The sequence below is a fragment of the Homo sapiens genome, chromosome 3 (genome assembly GCF_000001405.40).
Source record: "Homo sapiens chromosome 3, GRCh38.p14 Primary Assembly".
NCBI lineage: Eukaryota > Metazoa > Chordata > Mammalia > Primates > Hominidae > Homo > Homo sapiens.
The window spans coordinates 51,795,178-51,806,279 of NC_000003.12; the positions used below are offsets into that span (position 1 = coordinate 51,795,178).

General features: G+C 42.1%; 1 long non-coding RNA gene across 1 annotated transcript in view, besides 1 other annotated feature; it reads left to right on the forward strand.

Annotated features, from left to right (window-relative positions):
• LOC105377087 (uncharacterized) overlaps nt 1-10,845 on the forward strand; it is a 51,385-nt gene extending 40,540 nt beyond the window's left edge. The window contains exon 3 of the long non-coding RNA XR_940838.2: nt 10,411-10,845. This is a non-coding gene — a long non-coding RNA (uncharacterized LOC105377087). The remainder of the gene's footprint in view (nt 1-10,410) is intronic.
• Nucleotides 6,683-7,434: an enhancer, noted in NCBI's record as "NANOG hESC enhancer chr3:51835876-51836627 (GRCh37/hg19 assembly coordinates)". NCBI's record gives its function as "activates a minimal SCP1, AML or CMV promoter by ChIP-STARR-seq in primed H9 embryonic stem cells {active_cell/tissue: H9 hESC(primed)}" and the evidence as "EXISTENCE:reporter gene assay evidence [ECO:0000049][PMID:30033119]".
• Nucleotides 10,846-11,102: the final 257 nt, after the last annotated feature.

The window sequence follows — 11,102 nt, forward strand, 5'->3', positions numbered from 1 at the left end:
AAATGTTTGCCAACCTCTCTGGTCTATCTTTTTGTTGGGGGAGGAGCTATCTTTATCAGATTTGGTATGAAGTGTAATCTGGCTTCGTAAAATGAATTGGAGAATTTCTTTTCTTTTTTCTATTATGTGGAATAGTTTAAATATCTTTGGAATGATCTTCTCTCTAAAGGTTAGATAAAGCTCAGCTATGAAACTATTTCTTCCAGGGCAATATTTAATATATAAAAATATAATCTTCCTTGGTAATTGTTCTATTCAAGTTTTCTATTTTTTCTTGGATTGATTTTGGTAATTTAGATTTTGTTAGAAAACCATCCATTCCCTCAATAGTTTCAAATTTGGTTTGCCATAAACTTGCATAGTGTTGTTCTCCTTAATATAATTTTAATTTCACCACATCTGTAGTTGAGTCTCAGTTCTCATTTTCTGTCTTGTATATTTTTACCCTCTTTTTTTTCTTTAATCTGGTTTATAAGAGAACTGGAGAGTCTATCTGTTTGTTTGTTTGTCTGTTTTTCAAAGAAACAGCTTTTGAGTTTATCTTTCCTTTAACTTTTTTTCTTGGTTTTCCATTTCACTAATTCAAACTTTTATTATCTCCTAGTCTTCATTTATGTTAGATTGTTTTGTCTTTTTTCTCACTGTTAGGATGAGTTCCCACATTTTTGGGATGTATTTTGGGGGTCTATCTTCCATAATAAGGCATTTGAGGCTGTTGGGGTCCATCCTCCATAATAAGGCATTGAGGCTGTGAAATTCCCTCTAAGCCCAGGCTTTATTAGGAAGTGGTCTATTTTTTCATTGCTTTATGGGTAGTTTGCAATTTTATCTTGATTTCACCTTCCTTTAAGAGTTTTTCTTAATTTCCAATGAGGTAAGACTTTTATTAATTTTTAAATTATTTGTTTCTGATTTTATTGGATATGATCACTGAAAATATGTATACAATTTCTATTTTTTTGTTGTTTTTAAGCTTCTTTTAGTGGCCAAGTACATGGCAGTTCTTTGTTAATATTCTCTGGACATATGAAATAAATGATTATTCTCTGTTTGAAAGATATAAAGTTCTGTATGTATCTGCTGATGACTGCTTGATGATTACTGTTTATTCAATTCCCCCATGTCCCTGCTTTTTGGCTACTGATGTTGAAATTTCTTACAATAATAATCGCATTCTCCTTGCATTTCGTAGTTCTAATAATTTGTTAGTTGATTCTTTGGGGTTTTTAAAGTAGGTGACCATATCAGTTATAAATACTGACAACTTTGTAGTTTTTTTCCTCCAGCATGATACCTCTTTCTTTCCCTCCCTCCTTCCTTCCTTCCTTCTTTCCTTCCTTCTGCTGTTGCACAAAGACTCAAGAACAGCGTTGAAAAGCATTGTGGGGAGTGGCACCACGTTTCCCTCTGACTTTAATGGGGTTGTTTCTTATGCTTTCCCACCAGTGAGGACATTTGCAGGAGTTTCATTTTATCTAGCCTTAGCAAATTAAGTACATTTCCTTCCATTCTTGTGTGCTAATTGTTTTTTGCAATCAAGATGTTTATTAAATGCTTTTCTTTTTAATAACAGCATGTAACCACCCGGTGGGTTCTCTTTGCCTGCTGTCTAGACAGAGCCAATATCAAGACAGGGGAATTGCAATAGAGAAAGAGTTTAATTCACACAGAGCTGGCTGTATGGGAGACCTGAGTTTTATTATTACTCAAATCAGTCTCCCTGAAAGCTTGGGGATAGGGGGTTTTAAGCATAACTTGGCAGGTAGGGGGTCAGAAAGTGGGAAGCGCTGATTGGTCAGGTTGGAGATGAAATCATAGGGAGTCAAAGCTGTTCTCTTGTGCTGAGTCAGTTCCTGGGTGGGGAGGCCACAAGACCAAATGAACCAGTTTACTGGTTTGGGTGGTGTCTACTGATCCATCAAGTACAGGGTCTGAAAATATCTCAAGTACTGATCTTAGGTTTTACAACAGTAATGTTATCCCCAGGGACAATTTGGGGAGGTCCATAATCTTGCAGCTTCTAACTGCATGACTCCTAAACCATAATTTCTAATCTTGTGGCTAATTTGTTAGTTCTGCAAAGGCAGTCTAACCCCCAGGCAGGAAGGAGGTTTGTTTTGGAAAGGGCTGTTACCATCTTTGTTTCAAAGTTGGGCTACAAACTAAATTCCTCCCAAAGTTAGTTCAGCCTATGCCCAGGAATGAACAAGAACAGCTTGGAGGTTCGAAGCAAGATGGAGTTAGTTGGGTCAGATCTCTTTCACTGTCAGAATTCTCTCAGTTATAATTTTTGCAAAGGCAGCTTCAAGCAGGAAGGATTTCACTGTTTTCCTCTTTGATCTGTTAATATGGTAAATTACATCGATATATTTTTCCCACGGAAACCTCCTCACAGTGGTGGGCTTTAGCCAGATTTTAGGCTACCTGACACCTCCAGGGAAGTTTAAATTTTCCCTCTGAAGTTTTGATAATTGAATCTGCTGAAATAGACTGACGATAGACAGACAAGAGAAAAGGCATACAAATGTATTAGCATGCAAGCACATGGGAATCATACAAGCATGAAACTCAAAGAAAAGTCAGATAATTGAAGCTTAAATACCTTCTTCACATGGGAGAGGAAAGTGGAAGATGTAGACAATTCTAGAGGAAGAGTAAATGATTTTTAAGAAGGATGAATGAGACTGAAGCACAAACAATAGCTGAAGGCAAAGTTCTTCTAGGCTCTAGTAGGGGTGGTGATAAGTTGTAGGAAGGTGAAGGGTGGAACTGCATTGCAAACAAAGGTTGTTTTTGTTTGTTTGTTTGTTTGTTTGTTTGTTTTTGAGACAGAGTCTCGCTCTGTTGCCCAGGCTGAAGTGCAGTGGCGCTATCTCAGCTCACTGCAACCTCTGCCTCCCAGGTTCAAGCGATTCTCCTGCCTCAGCTTCCTGAGTAGCTGGGATTACAGGCACGTGCCACCATGCCTAGCTAATTTTTGTATTTTTAGTAGAGATGGGGTTTCACCACGTTGGTCAGGCTGATCTTGAACTCCTGACCTCGTGATCCACCTGCCTTGGCCTCCCAAAGTGCTGGGATTACAGGCGTGAGCCACCACGCCCAGCCAAAGGTTGTCTTATTATGCAGATAAAGCCTCTTGGTGACAGCCCTCAGAACAGATGAAAAGTCTGCTCATGCAGATGATCTTTAATTTCTTCTTCAGTGAGTAACTATCCCTTTTTAATTTGATTTCAAACAGTGGATTGAAGGCAATTGTGTTTCTTTAAAAGAACTTCCCTCAGTCAGATAAAGGAACTCAGAGAGAGCCCCTTCCCGCACTTGGGGGGAGAAACAACGGAAGATCAAAGACCTTGATTCTGAGGCAGCTTGGGAGGCCTTTCATTCAAGGTGCTTAGTACGGCAAAGAGCTATACTTTGGGGGTGTTGTTTTCTGAGCCCAAACACACCTGATTCCCTTCCCCATGTCTGGGGACTCTCCTTCTTATCTGTCTGGGTGGGAAACAGCCTGCCTCTAATTATAGAGCTGAAAATACCAGTTTCTCACTTTCTCAGCTCCCCTGGCTGCTGGGACAGACATGTGACCAGGATTGGCCAATCAAATTTGTGTGCTGAGAATTTTCAGTCTGCAGCTTGGGATCCAGAGAACCAGGATAGCAACCCCTGTGTTGGTGCTGGAATCCTCAGCAGGCTGGTTCTGTGGTATGATGTTTTCTGTGGTTCTGGGTGCATAACTTCTCTTTGATCTGCCTGTTTTCTGAGCCTGGTCCCTGGGCTTTCTGATAATTTGGTGAGCTACTAAATATTGTTTCAATACACTTCTATTTTGCTTAAGTAAATATGGATCTGTTTATGTTTGTAGTTAAGATGAATGACTAACATATTTGCATTTGTGGAATAAATCCTACTCATTCAAGCATTATTTGAAATCACCATTGGATTCAGTTTGTTAATATTTATACCTGTGTTCATAAATCAGATTGGCTGATAGTTTTCTCTTCTTGCACTGTTCTCATCTTATTTTAGTATTAAAAGGGTGCCAACTTTTGGGGATTTTTTGGTTAGAAAAATTCCTACAGTAGAATTGCTGGATCAAGGGGTCTGTACATTTTCAGTTTTGATGGCTATTGTCAAATTGCTATCCAAAGAAATTTTGCCAGTTTACATTTTGACCAACAACATATAATACTGCCTGTTTCTCTCTATCCTTGCCAACACAAAGGACCTGTTATCAATCTGTTTTTTTTTTATGGGTAAGTTGAGCATCCTTGCATATGTTCAGAGTCTTTCTTTCCCCAGCTGTTTTGTTTTCTATGAACTGTCTGTTGATGTCAAAGAACATCAACAGAGAGTTGGTGTTTAGTTTTTCCTCTTATGTTTTTTGTTGGGGAGGGAGGAGGCATGGGAGAGTGAGGATTTAACTTTTTGTCCTACAGTGACCTGTTGGTCTGAAGTTTAAACTCGGTTCCTGGATGTTGGTTGTAATGGCTGTTGAAACTGGAAAAGACCCTCACAAAGACCTGCAATGCAGAGGGAAGATGGCGTGATTGGCTCTGTCTTCCAACTCAAGACATTCACTTCCAGTTGCATCCACCAATTATGCAAAGGTTTTTATTGAAGTCTGGTGAAAAAAATTTCATATTCCCTAATGATAATCAGTTGTTCTATAAACCAGTCAGAAGTTGTTGCATTTTTATATTTTTAACAACTGGGTCCAAAACCAATACAATGATTTTGTAAGTAATAAGTAGGTGAGGAAATTCTATTTCCAAAGTTTTAGGTGTTCGACTGAGAGAGTTGTTATGAGTGAGTCACATTCCTTTTGGCAACAGAATCACATAAAGAAGGAAACATTTCAAACATCTGTTTTCTAAAAGCATTTCCACAGTATCTTAATTTGACTGATGAGGAGCTCCCTCTAGGGGAGAGAAAAATATCAGCACCAGGGTTTCTTGTTTGTGCATTTCAGCCTAGGGGTTTTTGTGGAAATCTTTTTAATCCCCTTGCCTGTGCTGGTAAGGCTTAGCATTGTTAGAACTAGACAATGCGATCCATACATGCTTTGTCAGTGCAGCACAGTCACAAATGATCATCTCTCCCAGTTCATGGAAAGCACATATATTGGCCTGTCTCTCTTACCAGAATGTGACCTTTATGTGGAGAGGGCTTTGCCTGTTTTATTCTTTTATTTAATAAATACCAGTGACAGTACCTGACACATAGCATGGTTCAATAATTTTTGAATCAATGAACAAATCTTTGAACAAAAGTTTTGAGCTTAGTGTAGCCTGAAATCCATGACTAGGCTCTGTGGCCAAGGGCAGGCATTTGTCTGTGGCCTAAGGCTGAGTAGTCTGTGCTGTGGGTGTGGGTGAGGTTTATTTAACTGGCTTAGGCCAAATGTATTCACTCAATGCTTGTTTATTGAGCACCGACTATGTGCCAGACACTGTTATAGGGGCTGGGCTCCCAACAGTGAAAAGGGCAGGCAAGATTCCTGAACTTAAGTAGCAGTGATATAGAGAATGTTGAGATGGTAATACTTGTTATAGAGAAAAATCAAACAGGGAAGGGAGATAGAGTATTCTGGCATGGAGAGGAGGTCTTGATTTTATCTGTGGTGAGAGAAGACTTCACTGAGAGGTGAAGGAGGGAGGGAGGAGGTTGAGCAGCCACCTGGGAGACAGTCATCAAGGCACTGAAGCAGGAACGTGCCCAGCATGTTTGAAGAACACGGAGGAGGCCGGTACGGCAGAGCAGAGTAAGGGAGGGGGAGAGGGATAGGGGCTGGAGTCAGAAAGATGTGGCCTACAGATGTGAAATTCCTAGAGAGAACGGTTGAAGATTTTCCAGCAGTGAGGGAGGACCCTGTGAGTCAAGGGCAAAAGCAGGCCTGGAACTTTCCTGCATCCTTTCCTGCTTCTAAAGGTGATTTTCAGGTTTTCTCTGAGACCATTTTCTTCGAAAGAGTCAGATCATCAATATGAGGTAACAGTGCCTACGGTGGTTCTGCTGCAGCCCACCTGTCAGGAGGTGGGAGATGTTCTAGGATAGTATGGGGTACAGAGGGGAGAACCTGCTGAACTGGATTCTGGCTGAACTAAGCTAAACAAGAGACAGCACTTTAGACCCTGAACGTCAGAGGTGGAGGAAGGGACCATCTATCTCTCTCAGCTCCTGTCTGTAGGTCATCGGGCCCCACTTAATTGCGGCCACCACTCTCATTGAAGAATCTTAATCTAAAAACTCTGGAAACCTCCCAAGAGCCAGAAAGAAACAGCCTCCACTGGAGATGACAAAACAAGATTAACCTTTTTGGACATTGATATGATTCCCTTTAGCCTCATTTTGTTATTGTTAGATTCTTTTTTTTTTTTTTAACAGTCTACAAATTGTTCTAAACTTTGTAGTGTAAGTGGTGATGGGCAATGGCGCTGTCCTGGGCTTCCTGCTAGCCAGTTGAGGTGGGGGTGTGTGCCAACACCTCTTGCTGCATCTGGTTTCATGACATATTTAGCTAGCCTGGCTCCAGATGGAAAGCCTGGCTGCAGTCAGTACTCTAAGTCAGCCTGATCACAGTATTAAGAGTCATTGTTATGGTCACACACCTCATTGTCTATGACAAACAAAACGCACTTATTCAAGCCCTAATCTGTATAATGAATTAGGGTATCTGATGGGGTGACCCACACTCCTGAGAATTCTTAGTAGGACACATGAATGTCAAGGGATGGAGTTGCAGGGGAATGACTTTGCCATGGCAACCTTGCATATATCTACACCCCCTGCAAAGGCGAAGGCTTGAACCACAGCTAATCTGAGTCTTGGCAGAACACTTCTTGATCCCCCTTGGAACAGAAGAGGATGGGAGGCTTGTAAGGCATGCTCTGAGGCCCTTATCTCCCTTGGGAGGCTGTCATGAGACAGCTTTCTCTCTCCTCTCCAGTCCTGATGAGGTGTGGGGCTTTCTGCCTCGTGCCCCTCAGAATAGAGCTACAGAATATAAAACCACATAGCTGCAGTCTAGACCCCCTTGGCTCAACAGCAACAGGGTATCCCACGACTTGCCTTGTAGTCATCGAATCCCTTTTGTGTTGTTCCTTTTGTTGTGTGAGACAAGAACCACAGGGAGCTGGCACTTTTGACTAATCTTCCTTTTTCTATCTATGTGAGTAATTGAAACAATCAGTCTGAAGTGGCTCGATTGGATCGGTTAGACCTTGGCCTTCGTTTTCTCTTGTGTGCCTTGTGTGTGCTTGACAGAAGGCCACGTACTGGGGGTCAGTTATCTGTCACGGTTACCGTGAAGCCTCTGAACTGGGAGAGCTGTAAGTTGTAATGCTGATGGTGTGCGTGTGTGACTGGCATGATAAAAAAGACCAGTGGAAAAATGAGGCAGTGGCTCCCTGTGGCAAGAGGAACTGCACACACCTGGACCTCGTTCCTGGCAGATGTTTACACACCTCCTTGCCCCTTGTGGGTGGGGTTAGGGAGGAATCAGAATCTGCATTCTAAGTAGTTGCTGGGACTCCTGAGGAGAGTGAAGCTCATTTCCTGACCTGTATCTTTTACAGGGCTAAGGAAACATAGTGCTAGATTAAAGTCTGTCGTGTCTTGAATTTGAAGTCTAGCCTACCCTCCCAGTGGTGGGACAGACCTGAATCTTCAGACTAAGGATGAAAATAAGTCCAAATAGATCAGTAATCACAATAAGTTCAATGAGTTAAACTTGATAATTAAAAAGCAGTTTGATAGATTACATTTAATAGATCTATATAATGTTCATAAGGGATATATCTAAAACAAAGTAACACAGAAAGTTTGAAAACAAAAGGATAGAAAAAAGATATATCCGGCAAATTTCCAACCAAAGAAAACTACCACAACAAAATATAATTTAAATCTTAAAAGGAATCAAGGAATCAGCGAACTATGGCCTGCAGGCCAGCTGAACCCACCACCTGTTTTTAGAAATAACATCTTATTGGAACACAATCACTCCCCTTTGTTTACATATAGTCTGTGGTTGTTTTTGAGCTACAATGGCAGGGTTGAGTAGTTGTGACAGATACTGAATGGTTGTCAAAGCCTAAACTTTTTACCACCTGGTTCTTTATAGAAAAACTTTACCAATTCTAGTTGTAAACCAATGAAAGGAACACTACTCTAAGATGCTATAATACTTGGGAATTTTTATGTACGCAACATAACTTCAAAATATGAAAATAAAAAGGCTGATAGAATTACAAAGTAAAGGGCCAGGCACAGTGGCTCATGCCTGTAATGCCAGCACTTAGGGAGGCTGAGGTGGGCGGATCACGAGGTCAGGAGATCAAGACCATCTTGGCTAACACGGTGAAACCCCGTCTCTACTAAAAATACAAAAAAAATTAGCCGGGCATGGTGGCGGGTGCCTGTAGTCCCAGCTACTCGGGAAGCTGAGGCAGGAGAATGGCGTGAACCTAGGAGGTGGAGCTTGCAGTGAGCTGAGATCGCACCACTGCACTCCAGCCTGAGCAACAGAGTGAGACTCCATCTCAAAAAAAAAAAAAAAAAAAAATTACAAAGTTACAAAGTAGATAATTCTACATTTATACCTATTTCAGACACTCATGGATCAAGGAGACAGAAAAATGGTAATAGGATATTTGAAAAATCTTGTCCACATACACACACACACGTATGAATTGTAAATGGAGACAATTGGGCAGAGAGTGGCAGAGCTGAGGATCATATGCATAGATGCATGAGGGGTCATAGTGGTCATGACCAGCCAAAATTATGAAGCCATCAATGTTACAAGGCAGAGAAAACAAAGACAATGGAGATCATGAAAAAATGGTAGTAACAAGAACAATTAGAGCATAAAAAAGTTAGCCAAACTGGAGAGACCAGCCCAGAGTGAATGCCACTAAAGTCCTGAGGAGTCCCAGAGCTACCTTGCATTCCATTCAAGTCTTTCAGATGCTCCATTTTATGACTTGTTTGTTTGTTTGAGACAGAGTATTGCTCTGTTGCCCAGGCTGAAGTGCAGTGGTGCAATCTCTCAATCTCAGCTCACTGCAGCCTCTGCCTCCCGGTTCAAGCAATTCTCCTGCCTCAGCCTCCCGAGTAGCTGGGATTATAGGTGCGTGCCACCATGCCGGCTAATTTTTGTATTTTTAGTTTCGCCATGTTGGCCAGGCTAGTCTCAAACTCCTGACCTCAAATGATCCACCTGTCTTGGCCTCCCAAAGTGCCGGGATTACAGGTGCGAGCCACTGCACCCGGCCCATTTTATGACTTTTTAAACCTGCATCTCCAGAACGCCCTCTTCCTTGTGTTGATCTTGTATTGGCCGTCCATCATGTGAGCTAGCCCAAGAAAAGCCATCCTTCTTGTAATAAAGGGAAATAAAGTAAAATCTCCTTTTGAATGTCTTGCCACAGCTATGACACAGTGCCATGGTGGACACATAGATGGGTGGGTGAAGTCCAGGAGAACCTGGTCTGCCAGGAAGTCCTAGTGGGACTTGTCCCTCCCCCTGGTGCTGGTTGTCACAGCTAATCTTGAGGTTTCTGGCTTCCTCTGGAAGGAAACAGATGCATCAGCCCTGACATATTAAAACAAGCATGTGAATACCTGGGTTTCCTATACTGTCTCATGTGCAGTAAGGAGCAAGGGTTTGGGAATCAGTACTATATGAATGCTGTAAACTTCGTTACAATGCCCACTTTTTTTTTTTGTTCCCCATGTATGAAACCTTGAAAATAAAGAGGAATAGTTTGCTTCCCTGGGAAGCATTGAGGAGAGCTGGAGAGCTAGGCAGCATCTAGATTTGATGTGAGATAAATCCTCAAGTGCCACAAAAGGACAGAAAGGAAAACAGACCCAAGGACAAAGGATCAGGGCCAAGGGACGCATGTCCAGGGCCAGTCAGGGCCTGAGAAGAGGGTACAGAGAGGGCCCTCAAGAGCAATGTGGCCTTGGTCCTTTCTTTTTTGTTCTTTTCTTTTCTTTTCTTTTTGAGACGATCTCACTCTGTCGCCCAGGCTGGAGTGCAGTGGTGCAATCTTGGTTCACTGCAACCTCTGCCTCTTGGGCTCAAGCAATCCTCCCACCTCAGCCTCCTGAGTAGCTGGAACTACAGGTGTGTGCCACCATGCCCTGGCTAATTTTTAAATTTTTTGTGGAGATGAGATTTTGCCATGTTGCCCAGGCTGGTCTTGAATACCTGGGCTCAAATGATCCACCTGCCTTGGCCTCCCAAAGTGCTGGGATTATAAGCATGAGCTACCAAGCCCGACCTTTCTGTTTTCATAAAAGACTGTATCAGGAAAGAACTGTGCACGGACCACACAGAGGAGAACTTGGTAAGTGATGGGATTCAGGTTTCACGTATTTTTACTTACACCCCTATCCTATCTTTGACAGGAGGGAAACAGACAACTGTTGCATTCCTGTCCACAGAGCCTCTCCCTGAAGAAGACTCAATTATGCGGCCAGCATCCTAACCCTGGGCTGTAGTCACTTTCGATCTCATGATTTTTCATCACTTTTACCCATGCCTGGTGACTGAACCATCTAGAAACAAGCTTTGGGCATTTGCCATTGTATAGGAAACATAGCCATATCTACCCAGTTGGCAGAAGTATCCCATGACTATCCCAGGATGAGAGGGACCCTGGAAATTCATAGACTCTGAGACTGATTAGGAAGCTAGGGTTGTGGATGTCATTGTTATAAGCCAAAAGGAGAAATAACCGTATCTTATGCAAATCTATCTCTTCTCTATAAAATCAACTCTACAGAAATGCATAGGCAACTATAATTGAGACCCAGAAAGTTGAAGAAATATTTTAACGGAAGCAGAAGGTAAGTAGGTGTTCCATATAAAAAAGAGAAACCCAGATTATTACTATCAGATACTTAAGTGTCCTGAGGATGCTGAGCTGTGCCTCCTGTGTGGAGGCACACAGGATTCCTCCCAAAAATAAAAAGGGTCACCCTGATCAGTAAACATTGGTAACTGGTTCCTCATCTTCCTGGGTAGTGGTAGAGGGAGTGGGAGAGGTGGTGAGAAGGCAGCTAGAAAGCCAAGGAGCTGAAATTTTGGGCAGAATTTT